General features: G+C 39.1%; 1 protein-coding gene across 6 annotated transcripts in view; it reads left to right on the top strand.

Moving 5' to 3' along the window:
• Window positions 1-24516, top strand: part of ULK4 (unc-51 like kinase 4) — a 715505-nt gene that overhangs the window by 534007 nt on the left and 156982 nt on the right. The window lies entirely within an intron of this gene.

Below are 24516 nucleotides of genomic sequence, written 5' to 3'. Positions count from 1 at the left end.
TTGCATATTGACTTTTGTGTCCTGAAGCTTTGCTGAAGTTGCTTATCAGCTTAAACTTTTGGGCTGAGATGATGGAGTTTTCTAGATATAGGATTATGTCATCTGTAAACAGAGACAGTTTGACTTCCTATCTTCCTATTTTAATACCCTTTATTTCTTTCTCTTGCTTGATTGCCCTGGCCAGAACTTCTAGTACTATGCTGAATAAGAGTGGTGAGTGAGGGCATCCTTGTCTTGTGCCAGTTTTTAAGGGGAATGCTTCCAGCTTTTGCCCATTTAGTATGATGTTGACTGTGGGTTTGTCATAAATGGCTCATATTATTTTGAGGTATGTTCCAGCAATATCTAATTTATTGAGAGTTTTTAGCATGGAGGGATGTTGAATTTTATCAAAGGACTTTTCTGCATCTGTTGAGATAACCATGTGGTTTTTGTCTTTAGTTTTGTTTCTGTGATGAATTATGTTTATTGACTTACATATGTGGAACCAGCCTTGCATCCCAGGGATGAAGCCAACTTGATCATAGTGGATAAGCTTTTTGATGTGCTGCTGGATTTGGTTTGCCAGTATTTTGTTGAGGATTTTTGCATTGATGTTCATCAGGGACAGTGGCCTGAAGCTTTTCTTTGTTGTTGTATCTCTGCCAGGTTTTGGTATCAAGATGATGCTGGCCACATAAAATGAGTTAGGGAGAAGACCCTTCTTTTCAATTGTTTGGAATAGTTTCAGAAGAAATGGTAAATGGTACTAGCTTCTCTTTGTACCTCTGGTAGAATTCAGCTGTAAATTCATCTGGTCCTGGGCTTTTTTTGTTTGGTAGGCTATTTATTACTGCCTCAATTTCAGAACTTGTTATTGGTCTACTCAGGGATTCAATTTCTTCCTGGTTCAGTCTTGGGAGAGTGTATGCATCCAGGAATTTATCCATTTCTTCTAGATTCTCTAGTTTATTTGAATAGAGATGTTTATAGTATTGTTTGGTGATTGTTTATGTTTCTTTAGGGTCAGTGGTGATATCCCCTTTATCATTTTTTATTGTGTCTATTTGATTCAACTCTCTTTTCTTCTTTATTTGTCTAGCTATTGGTATATCTATTAATTTTTTCAAAAAACCAGCTCCTGGATTCATTGATTTCTTTGAAGGGTTTTTTGTGTCTCTGTCTCCTTCAGTTCCACTCTGATCTTGGTTATTTCTTGTCTTCCGTGAGTTTTGGGGTTTGTTTGCTTTAGATTCTCTAGTTTTTTTAGTTGTGATGTTAGGGTATTGATTTGAGATTTTTCTAGTTTTTTGACGTGGGCATTTAGTGCTGTAAATTTTCTTCTTAACACTGCTTTAACTGCCTCCCAGAGATTCTGATGCATCATCTCTTTGTTCTCGTTGGTTTGAAAGAACTTATTGATTTCTGTCTTAACTGTATTATTTACCCAAGAGTCATTCAGGAGCAGGTTGTTCGATTTCTATGTAGTTGTGGGTTTTGAGTGAGTTTCTGAATCTTGAGTTCTAATTTGATTGCACTGTGGTCAGAGAGACTGGTGTAATTTCAGTTCTTTTGCATTTTCTGAGGAGTGTTTTGCTTCAGATTATGTGATCAACTTTAGAGTAAGTGCCATTTGGCACCAAGAAGATTATATATTCTGTTGTTTGTCCGGGAGAGTTCTGTAGATATCTGTCAAATCCATTTGATTCAGAGCTGAATTCAAGTCCTGAATATCCTTGTTAATTTTCTGTCTCTATCTGTGTAGTACTGACAGTGGGGTAAAGTCTCCTACTATTATTGTGTGGGAGTCTAAGTCTCATTGTAGGTCTCTAAGAACTTGTTTTATGAATCTGGGTTCTCCTGTATCGGGTGCATATATATTTAGGATAGTTAGCTCTTCTTGTTGAATTGACCTTTACCATTACATAATGCCCTTCTTTGTCTGTTTTGATCTTTGTTGGTTTAAAGTCTGTTTTGTCAGAAACTAGGATTGCAACCCCTGATTTTTTCTGCTTACCATTTTCTTGGTAAATTTTCCTCCATCCCTTTATTTGAGCCTACATGTGTCTTTGTATGTGAGATGGGTCTCTTGAATACAGCACACTGATGGATCTTTAGTCTTTATCCTGCTTGCCATTCTGTGCCTTTTAATTGGGGCATTTATGCTGTTTTACATTTAAGGTTGATATTGTTATGTGTGAATTTGATCCTGTCATCATGATGCTAGCTGGTTATTTTGCAGACTTGTTAATGTAGTTGCTTCATAGTGTCATTGGTCTTTGTACTTCAGTATGTTTTTGCAGTGGCTGGGAATGGTTTTTCCTTTCCCTATTTAGTGCTTCCTTCAGGAGCTCTTGCAAAGCAGGCCTGGTGGTGATGAATTCCCTCAGCATTTGCTTGTCTGAAAAGGATTTTACTTCTCCTTAACTTATGAGCTTAGTCTGGCCAGATATGAAATTCTGGGTTGGAAATTCATTTCTTTGGGAATTATGTTGAATATTGGCCCCCAGTCTCTTCTGCTGAGAGGTTATGCCATTAGTCTGATGGGCTTCCCTTTGTAGGTGACCTGGCCTTTCTGGCTGCCCTTAACATTTTTTTCTTCATTTTGACCTTGGAGAATCTGATGATTATATGTCTTGGGGTTGAAATGGTGGAATATCTTACTGGGATTCTCTGCATTTTCTGAATTTGAACGTTGGCCTGTCTGGATAGGTTGGGGAAGTTCTCTTGGATGATATCTGGAAGTATGTTTCCCAACTTGGTTCCATTCTCCCCGTATCTTTTCAGGTACCCCAGTCAGTTATAGGTTTGGTCTTTTTATGTAATTCCATAGTTCTCAGAGGTTTTTTTTGTTTCTTTTTATTATTTTTTCTCTAATCTTGTCTGCCTGTCTTATTTCAGCAATATAGTCTTCAAGCTCTGAAATTCTTTCCTCTGCTTGGTCTATTTGGTTATTGATACTTGTGGTTGCATTGCGAAGTTCTTGTATTGTGGTTTTTCAGCTCCGTCTGTTCATTTATGTTCCTCTGTAAGCTGGTTTTTCTGGTTAACAGCTCCTGTAATGTTTTATCATGATTCTTAGCTTCTTTGCATTGGGTTACAACATGCTCCTTTAGCTCAGTGAAGTTTATTATTACTCACCTTTGAAGCCTACTTCTGTCAATTCCACCATCTCAGCCTCTGCCCAGTTCTCTACCCTTGCTGGAGAGGTATTGCGATCATTTGGAGGAGAAGAGACACTCTGGCTTTTTCAGTTTTCAGCCTTTTTTTTTTTTTTTTTTTTTTTGATGATTTCTTATCTTTGTGAGATTATCTAGCTTTGATCTTTGAGGCTGCTCGCCTTTGGATGTGGTTTTTGTGGGGAGTTTCCTGTTGATGCTGTTGTTGTTATTGCTTTCTATTTGTTTGTTTTTCTTTTAATAGTCAGGCCCCTCTTCCATAGGGCTGCTTCAGTTTGCTGGGTGTCCACTCCAGACCCTATTTGCCTAGGTCCCTCCCACACCTGGAGGTGTCACCAGTGGAGGCTCCAGAAAAGCAAAGATGGCTGCCTGCTCCTTTTTCTGGAATCTCTGTCCCAGAGGTGCACCAACCTAATGCCAGTTGGAATGCTCTTGTATAAGGTGTCTGGCAACCTCTGTTGGGGGCTCCTACACAGTCAGGAGGCATGGGATCTGGGACCCACTTAAGGAAGCACTTTTGGTCCTTCTGGTGGAGGAGGTGTGCTGCACTGGGGGGAATCCCACTTGTCCAGACTGCCCGGATTCCTCAGAGCCAGCAGGAGGAAAGACTAAGTCTGCTCATCCTAAAAGACCATGGCTGCCCCTCCCCCCAGGGGCTCAGTCCCAGGGAGATCAGGGTTTTGTCCCCAAACCCCTGCCTGGAGTTGCTGAAATTGCTGCAGGGAGGCACTGCCCAGTGAGGAAGGATAGGTCAATCTGGCCACTATATGCCACAGCTGCTGTGCTGCCCTGTGAAGAATTCCTCCTGGATCCAAACCATCTAGTATCTCCAGCACTGGCAGGGGAAAGATGGCAGACTGGAGCTGCGGTGATGGTAGCCACCCCTGCCCCTGGGAGCTCAGTTGTCTTAGGCAACAGGCAGCCACAGTGATGATGACCACCCCTCCCCACAAGAACTCCGTAATCTTAGGTTGTCTCCAGCCGAGTGGCCACTGAAAATCTATAAACTCTGTGCTTGGGGCCCAAGGCCCTGGTGGTGTTGGCTCATGAGGGGGATCTCTTGATCTGTGGGTCGCATAGATCCATGGAAAAAGCATGGTTTCCCGGGCAGGGTAGCATGATCACTCACTGCCTCTCTGGCTGGGGGTGGGAGCTCCCTTGCCCTGTGTGGCTCTCAGGTGGGCTGTTGTACCACTCTGCTTTTCCTCACTCCCCATGGGTCAAGACAACCGCGTAGTCAGTCCCAGTGAGAGAACCTCTATACCTCAGTTTTTGGTGCAGGATTCACTTGCTGTTTACATTCTTCTTGGTGGGAGCCTCCAACTGCAACTGTTTCTATTCGGCCATCTTGGCCCCTCCTCTGTAAGACGCTTTTGAATCTTATAACCAAAAAGCCAAATTTTCAAGTTTCTTTATTCCTCATTTGATGGTCATAGGAAACCACGATGCTCTATTATTAGAGTTGTTAAAGGCAGCCTGAGCCCGTCCTATCTTTTCCATTGATTGTAGCAAGTCTTGGATTTGACCACTAAATGAGGGTTATTACACAGGATGCCTAGCAAATTTTCCCTTTTTTAAATTTTAGAGGTAGGAAAGACAGATTTATATCACACATTTGAATTAGAAAACGTACCATAAGCACATTGTAACAATTCAAGCAATATAGAAGTGATTAAAGTAAAACGGAAGTCTTCCTCTGTCGTGACTCCACCCCCAGTGTAACCCCTGTTTACATTTGGCATGTGTCCTTGCATCCTTTTCCCTGCTTACTGTCAAAGCACTTATCTCAGTGATTTTCTTTCTTTGGTTTTTGCTTTCATTTGTAAAAATAGGACCATACACAAAATAGTATACATATTTTGTAACTTGCTTTTATTTTTATTTATTTCAATATTATGGACATCTTTTCCAAGTCTGTACTTATATGTCAATCTCATTCTTTTTAATAGCATGGTATTTTATAGTATGAATGTACAATGGTTTATTTGATTCAAACATCTTCTGATGGATGGCCATTCAGATTGTTTCCAGTTATTTTCCATTATAAATGTAGTACAAAACACATGTTTGTGTAGTACTTCTGAATTTCCTTTGATTAGATAAACTCCAGAAGTGAGATGGTTAGATATAAACACGTTTTTATTTTATAAGTACTAGTTACCATATAACTTCTCAAAAGATTCTAACAGTTTATACTCTAATTAAACAGTGTATAAATGTACTTGCTTTTCTACATCTTTACCAGCACTACATTTTCTGAGTCTTTAAAATTTTTTGTCCATTTGATAGGTAAAAATGACGTATCACAAACTTTCAATTTGGACTGCGGCTATAGCAGTAAGAAAAAAAAGGAAATACAGGCATATGAATATGTGTAACATTAAGGCATTAAATGTGGAAATATAGAGAAGTAGATGATTTTACAGAAAAGTATAAATTATCAAAATTGACATCAGAATAGATAAAAATATCAAACTTAAACATTCTTAAAATGTGATCATCTAATGATTTAAGCATCTCACCTTCTATTTAAATAGGAATAGGAATCTGCAAGGTGTAATTTCACCACAAGCAGGTGGAAAAGAAAAGATCCAACAAAGAAATCTTACAAGTATTTATAGCCTGTAGCAATTCAAAGATGTGAATATAAATATCACCAAAGCAAACACTGTTAAGTAAGACAACCAATCAGAATTTTTTGTTTTAAAAGACAAATGTTGATTTCACAGGACATGATCACCCTTTCTGCCTTCTAGGTATCTTACAAGACTTCTTTATTAGAAATAACACTTTCAAGGACTATTTATGACACAGAATATAATCTCCTTTTCTGTAGCTGCAGGGAAAGAGGAAACATTTTTCTCTTTATTATTCTGCTAAGATTTCTTTCACAAGCAGTTAGGAGGGCTGCCAGTTTAAAGGGTAAATACCAGAATTCCATTAGTTCTTATCAAAAGAAAAAAAAAATCTTCTAATATGAAAAAACAAACAACAAACAAGTGGATCATTGTGATCTGATATTTTGCATCTACAAGATCTTTAATTAGAATGTTGTCAAGCTTAGATGGTTTTACGTGTGCATTCAAAATTTTCAAGAAGTAGACAACTCCTGTGCTATCTAAATGATTTGGAGTGTAGAGAGAGTTAAAGCTTCCTGGTTCATTTTCATGAAGCTATAATAAGTCTCATACCATAACCTACTTTAAAACAGCACAGAACAATTGAAGAAAACTTTCATTTAGGAATATAGGCAAGAAAATCCCCTCCCCACAAAAAAGAAAATTAAATCTAGCAGTACATTACTTAATATAACCAAATAATATTTGATTCTGGAATTCAGGAATAGTTCAAGCACTAGAAAAACATCATCTAATATTTTAAGAAATTGAAGGCGAACAAAAACATGATTGTAATTATTGATGCTAAAAAGTTCAGCTAGCAATTCTTCCTTTTTTAGAACTCTATTTAAGATAGAGTGAGTCTCCCAAACATATTGAAGGTTATTTTCTTAAAGTCAATAGTAAACATTTTAAATAAAGAAACTCTAAATGCATTTTCATTAAAATTGCAAGAGAAGAATGCCACTACTAGTCAACAGTGTTGGGGAGGGTGCAGGCAGTATGATACAGGTAATGCTGTAAGATGAGAGAAATAAATCTGCAGTCTAAAATCATTATTTGCAGTTAATAAGATTGTTATACCTAGAAAAAAGAAATTACAACAAAAAATTTGTTGTTACTAAAGAGCATATTTTAGTAGGCAGGTATTATATAATACACAGAAATTAATAGCTTTTCTTTTCTTTTCTTTTCTTTTTTTTTTGAGATGGGGTCTCACTTATTTGTTTCCCAGGCTGGAGTGCAGTGGCGTGATCTCAGCTCATTGCAACCTCCGCCTCCCAGGCTCAAGCAATTCTTCTGCCTCAGCCTCTCAAATAGCTGCGACTACAGCCATGCACCACCATGCCCAGTTCATTTTTGTATTTTTAGTAGAGACAGGCTCTCGTCTTGTTGGCCAGGCTGGTCTCAAACTCCTTACCTCAAGTGATTTGCCTGCCTCAGCTTCCCAAAGTTTTGGGATTACAGGTGCAAGCCACCGCGTCTGGCCGGCTTTTTTTTTTTTTTAATAATACTGACATTAAATTGAAAGAACCAGGCCGGGCACGGTGGCTCACACCTGTAATTCCAGCATTTTCGGAGGCCGAGGGAGGCGGATCACCTGAGGTTGGGAGTTTGAGACTAGCCTGGCCAACATGGTGAAGCAGAATCTCTACTAAAAATACAAAAATTAGCCAGGCATGGTAGCTGGTGCCTGTGTAATCTCAGCTGCTCGGGAGGCCAAGGCAGGAGAATCACATGAACCCAGGAAGTGGAGGTTGCAATTAGCCGAGATTGCACCACTGCACTCCAGCCTGGGTGACAGAGTGAGACTCCATCTCAAAAAAAAAAAAAAAAAAAAAAAAAGAAAGAACTGGAAAACTGAAAAATCCCTTACACAGAAGTGTGAAATCATCCTATAAAATGGCCAAAAATAAAGGTAACAAGAAAATACAAGTCATGATTACTTGTACATGATAACTATAGGAAAAATTTGAAAACATAAAATATGATGTAAATGAAATCACAGATGTGCCAGGTACCTGGTGGGAAGACTATCATTAAAAATATTAATTACTCCAAAATTAAAATATAAATTTAAAGTAATTATAATCTCACCAACCTTTTCTTTTAAGTGTATTAAAAACGATCCTACAAAATAAATGTGAGAGACTAACCAAGAAAATTTTTAACAGGAAGGCCTCTTTTTGTTACTCTTTTTTTTTCCTTACATTTATCTCCTGTCTCTCACAGGTCCTCTTTAGAGAAAAAAAGAGGAACTCAAAAAGGAATAAACTTACGTTAATGAAGAGAAAGGGGAAAAGGAAGTCAGTGGCAGATTAAGATTTCAACCTACTTCTGGGAGACAGGAGGCATATGGAAGCCTTTGGCACAGGGCGGAGGAAGCCCAGTGCCAAAACACCCTGTGAGGGGTCACAGTGGCGGTGGGCAGTGGCTTCCCCACAGAAACCCCGCAGCACCCCTGGCCTCAGGAAGAGATGGAAAGAGGCATTTTCAGAAGTCTATAAGGAACAGCTCTGCCATTTCATCCTTCTTATGCCCTTCCTCAGTTTACTGCATGCCAGAGAACAAGCAGCCCAGCACGTACCCCCGGGCCTTCACAGTGATGCCAGCACTTTGCTCCAGTGAAGTTGAAGCTGAGCAGAAATCAGATAGTACCCCAGAGTAAAGCAGTCCTGAGTTTCTGCAGAGTGCTGGTGGTAGAAATGGTGAGGTTTCCCTAAAGAGAAACTTTCCAAGCTCCACCGCCACCACTGCAGGGCGGTGTTACCACCTCTCACCACAAGTGATGTCATTCAGCTGCTTGCTTTCCATGGTGTCTATGCTTTGAGGATTTCCAAATTTGTATCTTTAGCCATGACCTGTCCCCTGAACTCCATTCTTGTAAATCTACTGCCTAAATAATACCTCCACGAGAGTGTCTGAGTCAGTGGTGATGTGAGCCATAGGATGGTGATCTAATTGACCTTTTTGCAGGCTCCATGTTATCCTACTCTCCTCTCTGACCTCGTTTTCTAGCCTCTCCTTGTACATTCAGTGAGTCATGCTGCCTCCCTGCTGGTCCTCAGAAACACCGAGCACACTGCTGTCATGGAGCTTTTTTTTCCCCCAACATTTTTATTATGAAAGTTTTCAAACAGAAACGCTGAAAGAATTGCACAGTAAGCACATATATAATTGCCACCTGCATTGTTTAACAGTTTTCTACATTTATTTTATCATTTATCCATTTATCTATCAATCTATCTTACTTTTTGATGCATTACAAAGTAATGCCACAGGACTTATGAACTTGGTGTTCTAACCTCGTAAGACTCTTTCCTCCAACATTCACATGACTCCTTCCCTCACTTGCATAGGCTGTCTGTCCAAAGAACACTTCTCAAAGAACCCTTTTCTAACAACTCTGTGTAAAATGGCCTGACATTTTATAATGTGCCCATTCATGCACTGTCTGCCAGCCCCTCTAGAGTGAGAGCTCCAGGAGGGAGGGGCTTCACCTGTGTGGTCCACCTGTTCCTTTAGCATCAGGACAATGCCTGACTCATAGTAGGTGCATTTGGCAGAGACTTCAAGTTCTCCACCAATATCCATTCTCCTGTGAATACTGTAGGGACTGCAAAACTCTACCTCATCCTCTTAGGGTCCTGAATGGTCCCAAGAATTAAATTGACATGAGATAGATTAAAAGCATACACATTTCTTTAGAATAGGTTTTTACATGGCATGGGAGTTCTCATAAGGAAATGAAGACTAGATTAGGAAATGAAGACCAGAAAAAGTAGTTAAAGCAGTCACTTATATACTGAACTGGACAAAGAGTAGTACAGTTGACCCTTGAACAACACGGGTTTGAACTGTACAGGTCCACTTCTACGTGGACTTTTAAAAATTTTTTGGAAAATTTTTTGCAGATTTGTGACAGTTTGAAAAAACTTGCAGACAAACTGTGTAGCTTAGAAACGTGCCCCCCCCCCCGCCAAATTAAGAAAAAAAGTATGTCATGAATGTTTAAGATACGTGTAGTACTAGTCTATGTGTCAATTGACTGTTTATGTTATCAGTAAGGCCTCCAATCAACAGTAGGCTATTAGTAGTTAAGTTTGGGGAAGTCAAAAGTTATATGCAGATTTTGGACTGTGTTAGGAACAGAGGGTTAATGCTCCTAACCCTGTGTTGTTCAAGGGTCAACTTATAGTTGTGAAAAAGCGATAAGGCAAAGGAGCTTGGACTAAGGTAGATTATTGGGTATGGAAGTAGCTAGGAAGGTAAGGGTTAATTTAACAAGGCTTGTTAGAACAGAATTCCCTTAGTCTCAACTTTCTCATTCTTGATGATAAAAATGTATTATCTTTTGCATGGGAATTTCATCTCCTGCTTTTGAAAAACAGCACGAAGGTCAGAGTGATCTTTTTGCACCTGCTGTTTTTCAAGTGGCTTTAACTTAAATAGACAGTATACCAGAGTAGTTAGTATGTTTTTAATTCTTTCAACAGCCAGAATAAAAACTACATTTCCCAGCCTCCCTTTTGCCTTGACGTGACCATATGACTGTCCATAGTCAAGCCAGTGAGAAGCGAACAGAAGTGATGTGTGTCAGTTCTGGTATCAGCTCTTAAAAGGACTGCATGTGTGCTTACCTGCCTTTTCTCTTGTTCCTGCTGCCTAGATGGGAGGAGCCTCTGTATACCTCAAAAAGTAACAGGCACCCAGGGTTTGCAGAGTCAGCCTCTCTGCATTAAGTACAATCAGTTATCTGCCTTCTTGGAGCTCTCCCAGGGGGAGCCTTACTGCTCAGAGATGTGTTTTCCCCTATACTAGGCTAACCCCAGCCTTCTGTGAGCTCTTCATACCTGGTCACAGCCTCCTCCAACCCCATATCTCTCCTCAGAAAGCTACCTGTGTCACATTTTCCTCCCTCTTTCAGGTGTTTCAGCTATGTTTTGTCACCTTGTCTTGCCTGAGCTTCTAGACATATTCCCCTTCCTTTACCAGGCTCTCTTCCCTGAGAGTTTCACTGATGATCTCTCCTTACTAGACCCCCAACATCCTTATCTTAGCTCAGTTACTAGTAGAAAGCTTTTTCTTCCTTCCAGAATCACGTCTAAGTCTGATGCCTCTGGAGTTTCTCCTGGAACAAGTGCTGTGCAGAACAGAATGCTTCACTGCATCAACGTATGCTTCACTCTTCACTGTCTCTCACGTGCGTAGAGGCAGAAGAGAGTGGGCTTCCAGGTGGTCACTCCTTGGCCCCCAGTAGCTTCCTGTTAGCTCTAATGCATTCTGCGTCTTCACATGGTGCTCCTCAAGGGCTGTACCATGGCATCCTTTTGGTAATGTTCCTATCACATGTACATTTCAGTGCACTTTCAGCTGAGCAGAGGATGCCCATCAGGGTGTCCTACCCCCGACTCTCCTTCATGAAATGCTTTAATTCCTTATTCTAACTCTAGTCTCTTTCATGCCCAAATGCTGTCTCATTTGGACAAATTTGGGTCCCCCTTTCTCCCTCCTTTTCCTCCTGGGTAATTAAAGTAGGTACATTGGTCACGTGTTTCCCTGTTTCACATGGGGCATTTCAGGCCCTGTGTTGCAGCTCTGTCTTTCCCACAGGCATCCCTACTGCCTTACTCAGGCTGTGTTTCCTAATAATTTTATTGTGGATCTCTTTTCTCCTTTTCTTTTTCCTGCCAGCACTATAGTAAACCTCTGTAGTATCACTAAGTATTGCCTATGTCACTATGGAAATTTGATCATTTTTCTGTTGTAAAGTATTCAAAGGGAAGAGCCACTAGAAGCAAATAGTTTTGTTTTGAGGGGTATAGCAGTTGAAAAATCAAATGCTTCAAAGAGGCCTTTTGTTACATGACGGCGTCATTCTAGGCATGAAGAAATTGGGAGGGTGAGGACCCAGGAGAGTCCCTGCCAGGTTAAGCTCTGCTCAGTGCTTGCCACAATGTAATGAGGACCTGTGGTGGTCACTTCTGATTTTACAGAAAAAAATAGGAAATACGAGATTTTATGTGAAATATTCCAATTTTTAAATGTTGGAAACTGATATTAAATCTTTAAAAATACCAGACCAAGTAAAACAAGTCTGTGGGGACAAATTTGTCCCAGGGCCTACCAGTTTACATCTTCTCTGTCAGGTCTTGAAACTCTTGTCCTAGACCCAAATCCTTTTATTTATGTGTTTAACACAGTGTTCCTATTGTTACTGCTGTATCAGCGTGGTCATTTCTATAGAAATGTGTGACTTCTCAGTGTGATTTTATGAAGATCGTATAGCCACATTTTTTCCTAGAGGGGAGTTACTTTATGAAAGTCATTGGAACAATAATGTTTGACATATAAAAATTCACATCATTTGCATTACTTGAGGGTATCTCTCTTTTCTCATTCTTCTTTTGCTCCGGATCACTTGCCATTGGGGTCTTTTCACTGACACACTTATTTGGCACATTATTTGCTGGGTGCTGTCTACCAGGTACATAAGACAGGCGGAGAGTCGGCTTCCATGGGCTGAGACAAATGAATAGACATGGTCATTTCTAGGAGTGACGAGTGATCTGAATAGTGAAGAGGAAGAGGTCTTACTGCATTGAAGAGTGGCTTTGGTGTTGGGAAAGGCAGAGTGGGAATAAGATGAAGATCTTTATATTAGGAGGCCAGGGAAGAACTCTCTTAGGAGGTGACCTTTGAACTGAGCCGTGATTTATGTGGAGGCACCCTTTTGAAAATAGGCAGTGAATACCCCAGGCAGAGGAGATTGCAGATGCAAATACCCTGAGCGGCACCGTGCTTGATAAGTTTAGAGGAGTGAGGGAAGGCCAGTGTTTAGGCTTAATGAGCAAGGGGCAGAGGTGGGGTGCTGGTGAGATGGGGAAAATGGATTGTAGGGGCACAGGTTTGTAGGGGCACAAGATTGTAGGAGCATAGTGGAGCATTGGTTACTTCTTGGGTGGCTGTCTCAAACCCATGTCTCTCATCCAGTGGTGACAGAATCCACCTGAATGTCTAAAGTAGGGAGAGCAGAAAAGACAGGATCAGGCCAGAGCTTTTCTACAGAACTCAGCATCCTAGCATTCACTGTTAACACATTTATCCTCTGTGGTTTCCGAAACCTTGCTGCTTCAGTAGAATTGTTTAAATCTCCTATTTTGACTTTTTAAATGAGTGATGCTTTCCGCTTCTTTTGTTATTGACATGAAACTGTCCGTTCATAATGTACATGGAAAGAGCCTTAGGAAAGTTAATTAGGGCAGTGCAGGAGGCCCAGAAGGCAAGGTTGAGCTTACCTATCTGTGATTTTCAACTTGTTTTTACATTTCTTTTTTAACACCCTGGTACTCTATTCTGTGATATGTGGACTCAAAACTAAATTAGTAAAAATGGTGGCAGGTTTTCTGCCTTCTAAATTCCCACATTTAAAAATATAGTGTACCTGGGATCAAAGGAGACCAAGTATCCTTCTCAAGAGAAAGGGGACGGTGTCAAGGCCCTGCGCAATAGTGTTTCCTTGAGCTGTGTCATCTGGAATTACCACCATTCATCAGCTTAATGATATTTTCTGCTGCCTCTTCAGCTGAGTTTGGGCAGGAGTGATATATGAAAGTGAAGTGGAACAGTATTGGTGGCCTAATGGGAAATCTTTTGTTAAAGGTGTCCTAACAAAATAGACGAGTCTATTCTTCAAGTGCTTTTTGGTAGTATAAAAGTAAGTGATTATTTTTTTCTTTCTTGGCTAGTTAATATCTTTTCTGAAAGTAAATATTTTTCATATACTTTTTGACAAAGCACTGAACCAGGCATTATTTTTAAAATAGAATATAAAATGTGAAAGATTTTGAAATGCATTATATTGTGTAGATTGGATAACGGAAAGTAAATACAACACAACTGTGATTTTAAATTGTTGTAAAACAGTTTTTAAAATTCAAATGTAAGTTTACTATGAAGTATTTCCAAGTTGTATGTGTGTATTCACTTATATATCATCTCTCCCATAAAGCATTTGAGGTGGCTAATAAGAGTGCTTGCAATAAAGTTAGGTTTGACAGAAAATACAAGATGCCGAATGGATATAGTTTTTTGTTTGTTTGTTTGTTTGTTTGTTTTTGAGATGGAATTTCGCTCTTGTTGCCCAGGCTGGAGTGCAATGGCACGATCTCTGCTCACCGCAACTTCCGCCTCCCAGGTTCAAGCGATTCTCCTGCCTTGGCCTCTCGAGTAGCTGGGATTACAGGCATGTGCCATGCCTGGCTAATTTTGTATTTTAAGTAGAGACGGGGTTTCTCCATGTTGGTCAGGCTGGTCTCGAACTCCTGACCTCAGGTGATCCGCCTGCCTCGGCCTCCCAAAGTGCTGGGATTACAGGCGTGAGCCACTGTGCCCAGCCCCAAATGGACGTACTTATACTAAAAATGATTTTTTTATCTGAAGTTCAAAGGTATCTGGGCGCTCCTTTTTCTAAGTCTGGAAACCCCAAATAAAGTGGGAAGCATGAAGAAAGCAATGGAAATAATATAGGGTGAAGTTTCTAGAAAAAGGAGTCTAATATAATTACCAAAGTTGGGCCATAGTTTTGATTTGGGGAGTTCTGGTTCCCAGACAAAAAAGAAAATATAATTATTTATAAGATGTACATTGCCCAGAAAGGAGGAGGAAAAGAAAACAAAAAAGACGGTTCCATGGGGCAAGAAAGATTTTCTGGTTAAGGGTTTGAAAGAATACTTTTTTATGGATCTCCATTAAAGGTACACTTTGTGATGAGGAGGGTAATGGTGGTAATATCTACTTTTTATTGAGCATTTTATTAACTAGACAATGACTTTTGAACTATTTTTAATTTAGATGAAGTCAGTTTTATCAATTTTTCCTTTTGTCATTCATTCTTTTGCAATTATGCCTATTAAACCTTTCCCCAATCCAAGGTAAAAATATTTTCTCCCATGTTTTCTCTTAGAAATTTTATAGTTTCAGCTTTTATATTCACGCCTGATATGGCTTGGCTGTGTCCCCACCCAAATCTCATCTTGAATTTTAGCTCCCATAATCCCCTCATGTTGAGGGAGGGACCCAGTGGGAAATAATTTAATCATGGGGGCAGTTTCCCCCATACTGTTCCCCTGGTAGTAAGTCTCACGAGAGCTGATGGTTTTTTAAGGGGAAACCCCTTTCACGTGGCTGTCATTCTTCTCTTGTCTGCTGCCTTGTGAGATGTACCTTTCACCTTCCGCCATGATTGTGAGGCCTCCCCAGCCATGTGGAGCTGTAAGTCCATTAAGCCTCTTTTTCCTTATAAATTACCCAATCTCTGGTATGTGTTTATCAGTAATGTGAGAACAGACTACTACAAGGCCTTTTATCCTTTTCCAGTTTATTTTGTTACATGATGCAAGGGCAAGGTAAAAGTGTATGGCTTTGCATATTTAAGCATTTTTTGAAAATGTATTCTCTTGGCCAGGCACAGTGGTTCATGCCTGTAATCCCAGCACTTTGAGAGGATGAGACAGGTGGATTACTTGAGGCCAGGAGTTCGAGACCAACCTGGGCAACATGGCAAAACCCCGTCTCTACTAAAAATACAACAAATTAGCTGGGCTTGGTGGTGCATGCCTGTAATCCAGTTACTTAGGAGCCCGAAGCATGAGAATCACTTGAACCTGGGAGGCAGAGGTTGCATTAAGCAGAGATTGCGACACTGCACTCCAGCCTGGGCAACAGAGCGAGACTCTGTCTCAAAAAAAAAAAAAAAAAAAAAAAAATTCAACTGCATTGCCATTGACCTTTATCAGAAATCAGTTGACTTATGTGAGCCTATGGGCTCCTCCTCAGATTTGCTTTGGCTATTCCATGTTCTTTACATTTCCATATGAAACTTTGACATGGCTTGTCAATTTCTACCAAAAAAAAAAAAAAACTTGGGGGATTTTGTATTGAGATTGTGTTGAATCTACAAAGTAATTTGGGGAAAATATTGGGAACAACATCAAGTTAACTAATGAACAAGGTATAGCTTTCCATTTATTTAAGTCCTTTTTACTTTCAGCAATATTTTGTATTTTTCATGCACATGTCCTTCATCCTGTGTCAGATTTATCCCTAAGCATTTCAAATTTTTTTATGCTATTATATTGGTATTGTTTTAATTTCAATATCTGATTGGTACTTACGTGAAAATTGCAATAGATTTTGTGTTTTTTTCCTTGAATCCTGCAACTTTGTTAAACTCACTCGTGGACTCCAGTACCTTGTTTGTTAATTACATCTGATTTTCTACATACAGGATCAGACTTACGCAAATAAAGTTACTGTATTACTACTTTTCCAATCTGGATGCCACTGGGTGGAGCTTCAGGTAGGGGGTGTGCTGATTGCATTGGCCAGAAATTTCCAAACAGTGGTGAGAGGAGACATCCTGTCTGTCTTCGTAATTTCAGGGGAAAGCATTCAGTCTCCTACACAACCTTTATCAGGTTGAGGAATGTCCACGAAAAGAGGGGCGGGGGAGGCTTCCAGGTTATAGGTAGATTTAAAATTTTTCTGATTGGCAATTGGTTGAAAGAGTTATTATCAATAGAAAGGTTGCTGGGCACGGTGGCTCATGCCGTTAATCACAGCACTTGGGGAGGCCAAGGCAGGTGGATCACCTGAGATCAGGAGTTCGAGACCAGCCTAGCCAACATGGTGAAACCCTGTCTCTACTAAAAATACAAAAATTAGATGGGCATGGTGGCACCTGTAATCCCTGTAGTCCCAGCTACTTGGGAGGCTGAGGCAGGAGAATCACTTGAACCCCGGAGGCAGAGGTTGCAGTGAGCTGAGATAGCGCCACTGCACTCCAGCCTGGGCGACAGAGTGAGACTCTGTCTCAAAATAAAAATAAAAAAAAAAAAAAGAAAGGAATGTCTGGATTATGATAAGAGGTTGTGGAGAACAAAGTTTTAACATGCAGATAAAGCCTCTAAGTAGCAGGCTTCACAGAGAATAGATTGTAAATGTTTCTTATCAGACCAAAGGTATGTGTTGATGTTAATGCTGGAGGTATAATGAGGCATGTCTAGACCCCCCACTTCCCTGAACCAGTCTTTCAGGTTCAATTATAGAGTGCCCTGGCTGAGGATGAAGACCATTCAGATGTTCGAGGGACCTTAGGATTTTGTTTTTGATTTACAAGAAGTTCCCTTCTACCCCTAGTTCACATTGTAAATAGATGTTGGATATTGTCAAATACTTTTTCTATTGAGATGATCTTGTGTTTTGGGGTACATTGTTATGGGTTAACTTGTGTCCTCTGGAAAAGATAAAGTCCTAACCTCCACTCCTGTAGAATATCCTTATTTGTAAATAGTGTTTTTGCAGATATAGTTAAGATGAAGTTATACTGGAATATGGTGGGTCCTCAATCCAATATGACTGGTGTCCTTTCGAGAAGACAGCCACGTAGAGACAAAGACACTTGGGGGAATGGCATTTACTTATGCTGTCTTTGTCTAGTTTTGTTTCATTTTTCCCTGTCCCTGGTGGTAGGTGACTGTCTAGTTTGGGTATCAGGACAATGTTGAACTCAGAGAATGAATTAGAAAGTATTTTTCCTTTTCAGTTTTCTTGAAGACTTTGTGTACAATTAGCATTTTTTATAACAGTTTTATTGAGCGATAATTCACATACCATAAAATTAACCTCTCAAAAGTACATAATTCAATATTTTTGTATATTGTGCAACCATTATCTAATTCCAGAATATTTTCATCATGCCCAACAGCAGCCTCATACTCATTAAAAGTCATTCCCCATTCCCTCCCCTCTACAACTCTAGTCAATCACTAATTTACTTTCTATTTCTATAAACTGGCCTATTTTGGGTATTTCATATATATGGAAATATATAATTTGATTTTTTTGTTCTCTTAGCTGTATGTTTTCAGGATTCTTTCATGTTTATAGCACGGATCAGTGCTTCATTCCTTATTATTCCTAAATAATATTCCATTATATGAGTGTATCGCATTTGTGTATCCATTCATCAGTTGATGGACATTTCAGTTGTTTTCACTTTTTGGCTATTATGAATAACATTGCTATGAACATTTGTGTACAAATTGTTATGTAAACATAGACTTTCTTTTTTTCAGTATATACCTGGGAGCTGGGTCATATAGTAAATCTGTGTCTAACTTTTAAAGGAACTGGTTTCCAGAGTGCCTCCACCATTAACATTTCCACTAGCAGTATATGAGGGTTTCAGTTTCTCCACATACTCACCAACTGCTTGTTACTGTCTGTGTTTTTGATTGTAGTCCTTCTATGGAGTATGAACTGATATCTCATGGTGGTTTTAATTTGCATTTTCTTTTCTTTTTTTTTTTTGAGACCGGGTCTCGCTCTGTCACCCAGGCTGGAGTACAGTGGCGTGATCTCTGCTCACTGCAACCTCTGCCTCCTGGGTTCAAACAGTTCTTCTGACTTAGACTCACAAGTAGCTGGGACTACAGGTGTGCACCACCATGCCTGGCTAATTTTTGTATTTTTAGTAGAGATGAGGTTTCACCATGTTGGCCAGGCTGGTCTCAAACTCCTGACCTCAGGTGATCCACCTGCCTCGGCCTCCCAGAGTGCTGGGATTACAGGTGCGAGCCACTTTGCCCAGCTGTTAATTTGCATTTTCTTGATGACTAATGCTATTTAGCATCTTTTCCTGTTCTTATTGACTATTTTCATACCTTCTTTGGAGAAATATCTGTTAAAGTCTTTGCTCATTAAAAAATTGGATTATTTTTAAAATTAGTGAGTTGTAAGAAATATTATATATCATGTATATACAAGTCCCTTATTAGGTATCAGATTTATAAAATATTTCTCTTGTGGGTTGTCTTTTTACTTTCTTGGTTATATCCTTTATAGCAAATCAGTTTTAGATTTTGATGAAGTCTAGTTTATCTATTTTTTCTTTTGTTGCTTGTGCTGTTGGCATCATACATAAGAAAGCATTGTCTAACCTAAGGTCACAAGACTTGCTCCTGTGTTTTCTATAAGTTTTATACATTATTTATGTATTTTTTTGAGATGGAGTCTTGCTCTGTTACCCAGTCTAGAGTGCAGTGGCGTGATCTCCACTCTCTGCAACCTCCGCCTCCTGGGCTTAATCCATCCTCTCACGTCAGCCTCCTGAGTAGTTGGGACTATAAGTGTGTGCTCCCGTGTCTGGCTAATTTTTGTATTTTTTGTAGAGATGGGGTTTCGCCACGTTCCCCAGGCTGTTGTCAAACTCCTGGGCTCATGCAGTCCACTTGCCTTTGCCTCCCAAGGTGCTGGGACTAGAGCACCCAGCTGCATTTAGCTCTTACATTTAAGTTTTGATCCATCTTAAGTTAATTTTTATATATGGTGTGATGTGGGGTCCAGTTTCATTTTTTTATATGTCCAGTTGTCTCAGCACCATTTGTAGAGAATACTATTTTCCCTCTATTGAATTGTCTTGGCACCATTGTTAAAACCAATTGATATATATGTAAAGGTTTGTCTGGGCTCCTAATTCTATTCCATTGGTCTCTAGATCTATCTTATGCCAGTACCACATTTGTTGGATTACTGTTGCTTTGTAGTAAATTTTAAAATTAGGAAGTAGGAGTCCTCCAACCATGCTCTTCCTTTGTAATGTTGTTTTGGCTATTCTTGGTTCCTGGCATTTCCATATGAATTTTAGGATCAACTTACCAATTTCTGCCAAACAAGACAACTATAATTTTGATAGAGAATGCTTTGAATCTATAGATCGATTTTGAGTGTGTTGCCATCTTAACAGTGTTTAATCTTCTGATGTATGAATGTGGGAAGTTTTTTCATTTATGTAGACGCTCTTTAATTTTTTTTTTTTTTTTTTTTTTTTTTGAGATGGAGTCTCACTTTGTCACCCAGGCTGGAGTGCAGTGGTGCGATCTCGGCTCATTGCAAGCTCCACCTCTTGGGTTCACGCCATTCTCCTGCTGCAGCCTCCCCAGTAGCTGGGACTACAGGCGCCCGCCACCATGCCCAGCTAATTTTTTTTATTTTTAGTAGAGACAGGGTTTCACCGTGTTAGCCAGGATGGTCTCGATCTCCTGACCTCGTGATCCGCCCACCTCGGCCTCCCAAAGTGCTGGGATTACAGGCATGAGCCACCGTGCCTGGCCTAATTTTTTTTTATTTTTTGCTACTTTTATTCCTAAATATGCCATTTGTTTTAATGCTATTATAAATGAAATTATTTTCTTAATTTCAACTTCAGATTGTTCATTGTTAGTGTATAGAAATACAATTGATTTTTGTATATCGATCTCATACCCTGCAACCTTGATGAACTTGTTTATTTGTACTAAAAGTTCTTTAAAGGGTTCCTTAGGATTTTCTGTGTATAAGATTATATCTTCTGCAAATAGAGTTTTACTTCTTTTTCAGTGCTTTTTATTTTTCTTATTTATTTTTCTAGCTAGAACCTCCATTATAATGATGAATATGGGAAGAGTGGACATCTTTCTTTGTTCATGATCTTAGGGGAAGGGAGTTCACTCTTTTGCCAGTGAGTGTTAGCAATAGGTTTTTCATAGATGTCCTTTATCAGTTGAGAAAGTTCCCTTCTGTTCCTAATTTGTTGAATGTTTTTAATAGTTAGTTTTGTGAAATGCTGCTTTTGTGACTATTGAGAGGATCATGTAGTTTTTGTTCTTTATTCTATTGCTATTGCATAGAACATTGATTGATTTTCACATGTGAAACTAATTTTGAATTCCTAGGCTAAATCCCACTTGGTAATGGTCTATAATACTTTTCATATATTGCTGATTTGGTTTGCTACTATTTTGTTGAGGGTTTTGGCATGTATATTCTTAAGGGCTATTGGCCTATAGTGGGTTTTTGTTGTTATTGTTGTTGTTTTTTGTACTATCTTTGTCTGGTTGGGGTATCAGGGTAGTACTGACCTCAGAGAATGAGTTCAGAAGTGTTCCCTTTTTCTTAGTTTTGTGGAAGACAGTGTAGAATTGGTATTACTTCTTCCTTAAATGTTTGGTAGAATTCACCAGTAAAGTCATCTGGCTCTGGAGTATGTTTGTTGTTGTTGTTGTTGTTCTTTTGTAGGATGGTTTTTAGCCATAAATTTATTTTCTTTAATTGATAATGTGCTACCCAGGTTATCTGTTTCTTCCTGATTGAGCCTCGGCCTGCTTTCTTCTCTCTGTTACTTTGTCTTATCAACTCTAGCTGCCTTGTCCTATAAACTTGTCCTATCAACTCTAGCTGTCTTTCAGGACTTTTTGCTCTGTCTCCTCAACTTAAGGAATCCACTGGGATCCCCCTCTGTTGTCCTCCCTGCACATAGGCCTGGAAACTCGCTCAAGTCTCTAATCTGGGAAAATAGGAGACCTCTCACCCTATTTGTGTCCCATCTCTTAGGGACAACCGTTCTTCATTATCTTATGTCTAGTGTCTTAAGAACCATTGCTTCATGCATTTGTATGCTAGTTTGTTGTTTCAGGCAGTTGGGTGTACCCTTCCCTGTTATGCCAGGGAAACTATTAATAAATCAGGGAGTAAAATAAATTTAATGGTCATCACTGGAAAAATAGAATGTTCAAGTAACCCACAGGAAAGTAGAAAAAAGAGAATGAGCAGAATGAGAAACAGGAAACAGAAGACATAATAAAATTGCACATTAGACTTAAGCCCTAGTCCCCCAATATTTACCTTAAATGTAAATGGTCTAAATGCACCAATTATAGGACAGAGATAACTGCCCAATTTACAGATTCAACGCTATTCCTATCAAGCTACCGACATTTTTCACAGAACTACAAAAAGCCATTCTAAAATTCGTATGGAACCAAAAAGAGCTCAAATAGCTAAAGCAATTCTAAGCAAAATGAACAAAGCTGGAAGTATCATATTAACCAACTTCAAACTATACTATAACATTACAGTAACCAAAACAGCATGGTACTGTTAGAGAAACAGACACATAGACCAATGAAACAGAATAGAGAACCCAGAAATAAAGCTGCACACCTACAGCCACCTGATCTTTGACAAAGTCAACAAAAGTAAGCAACAGGGAAAGGACTGCCTATTTAGTAAATGGTGCTGGAATAGCTGGCTAGCCATATGCAAAAGAATGAAACTTGACCACTATCTTTTGCCATATACAAAAATTAGCTGAAAATGGATTAAAGATTTAAATGTAGGACCTCAAACTGTAAGAATCCTAGAAGAAAACCTAGGAAACACCCCTCTGGACATAGGTCTTGGAAAATAATTTAGGACTAAATCCTCAAAAGCAATTGCAACACAAACAAAAATTGATGGACAGGACCTGATTAAACTAAAGAGCTTCAGTACAGCAAAAGAAACGGACAACCTAGAGAATGGGAGAAAATATTTGCATGCTTTGTATCTGATGAAGGTCTAATATCCAGAATCTGTAAAGAACTTAAACAATTGAAAAAGCAAAACAAAAAACAAACAAAAAAAAAACTCATTAAAAAATGGGCAGAAGACTTGAACAGACATTTCTTAAAAGAAGACATACAAGCGGCCAAGAAGCATATGAAAAAGTGCTCCACATAATTAGTCATCAGAGAAATGGAAATCAAAACCACAATGAGATACCATCTCACACCATTCAGAGTAGCTGTTATTAAAATGTCAAAAAACAGACGCTGGTGAGACTGTGGAGAAAAGAGGATGCTTATACACTGTTGGTGGTAAAGTAAATTAGTTCAGCCATTGTGGAAAGCCATTTGGAGAATTCTCAACTTAAAGCAGAATTACTGTTTGACTCAGCAGTCTCATTAGTGGATATATATCCAAGAGAAAACAAATTGTTCTTCCAAAAAGACACATGCACTTGTATGTTCACTGCAGCACTATTCACAATAGCAGAGACATGGAGTCAACCTAGGTGCCCATCAACAGTGGATTGGATAAAGAAAATATGATACATATACAGCGTAAAATAATACACATCCATAAAAAAGAATGAAATTATGTCCTTTGCAGCAACATGGATGGAGTTGGAGGCCATTATCCTAAGTGAATTAACACAGGGTCAAAACCAAATGCCTCAGGCTCTCACTTATAAATGGGAGCTAAACACTGGGTATTCGTGGACATAAAGATGGCAAAAATAGACACTGGGGACTACTAGATTGGAAAGAAAGAGAGGGTGGCAAGAGTTGGAAAACTAACTATTGAGTGCTATATTCAGTACCTGGGTGACGGGAGCAATGATACCCCAAACCTTGGCGTCATGCAATATACCCAGGTAACAAACCTGCAAATATAACCCCTGAATCTAAAATAAAAGTTGAAATCATTTTTTAAAAATATAGATGATTAGAGTTCTTAGTCCATTTTGTGCTGCTATAACATAATACCAGAGGCTAAGCAATTTATAATGAACAGAAATGTATTGACTCACAGTTCTGCAGGTTTGGAAGTCTGAATCAGGTAGCTGGCATCTGTCAAGGGCCTTCTTGCTGTGTCATAATATGCCAGAAGGCATCACATGAAGGAAGTGCAAGAGGGCGAGAGAGAGAGCCTGAGCACATGCACATATGCAGCAGGGAGCCCAAACTTGTCCTTTTATAAGGAATCTAATCCTGTGATAATGACTCTACTCCCTCTGTGGCAGAATTAATCCATTTATGAGGGTAGAACCATCATGGCTTACTCACCTCTTAAAGGTTCCACCTCCCAACACTGTTGAACTCGGGGGTTAATTTTCCAACATATGCTTTTTGGGGAACACATTCAAACCATAGCAGAGTAACAAAACATGATCCAACAGCATGCTATCTACAAGAAACCTCAAATATAATGATATAGGCAGGTGAAAGTAAAAGGAAGAAAAATGTATATCATGAAAATATTTTTAAAAGCAGGAGTGGTTATATTAATATCAGATAAAGTACACTTCAGAGCAGGGAAAATTACCAGAGGCAGAGAGGGACATTACCTAATGATTAAAAGATCTATCCACTGAAATGACATAACTATTTTAAATGTATGCATTCTAAACAACACGACCTCAAAATACATGAAGCAAAAAAAAAAAAAAAAATGATAGAGCTAAAAAGATAAATAGACAAATCAACAATGATAGTTGGGGCTTTCCCACTTAGGAATTAATAGAACAACTAGACGAAAAAATCAAGAATATAGAAAAATTGAACAATACACTCAACCAACAGAATATAATTGATAGAGAGCACTTCACACAACAACAGAATACGCATTTTTTTTTCCAGTGCCCATGGAACACTCACCACTAATAGACTGACTCCTAGGCCACCAAAGCAACTTCAAGAAATATTAAAAGAATTGAAATAGTATAGAACATTGTTCTCTAATAACAATAGAATCAAACTAGAAATCAATAAGAGAACGACAATAGGAAAATTTCCAACATTTAAAAAGTAAACACACTGATAACTCATGGGTCCAAGAGGAAGTCACACAGGAAGCTTTTTAAATGCATAGAACTGAATGAAAATGAAAACATATCAAAATACGTAGGCTACAGCTAAAAGCTGTCCTGAGAGAAAAATTTGCAACACCAAAAGCTTATAGACAAAAGGTGTAAAAGGGAAAGATTTTAAATCAATAATCTAAGTTCTCACCTCCATAAACTAGAAAAATTGCAAAGCTAATCCAAAACAAGCAAAAGGGAAGGAATTATAAAGATCAAACCAGAAATCAATGAATTT

Source organism: Homo sapiens, chromosome 3 (assembly GCF_000001405.40).
Source record: "Homo sapiens chromosome 3, GRCh38.p14 Primary Assembly".
In the NCBI taxonomy this organism is placed as follows: Eukaryota; Metazoa; Chordata; class Mammalia; order Primates; family Hominidae; genus Homo; species Homo sapiens.
The sequence above is the reverse complement of the archived record's forward strand: the minus strand, read 5'-3'. Positions and strand labels throughout refer to the sequence as shown.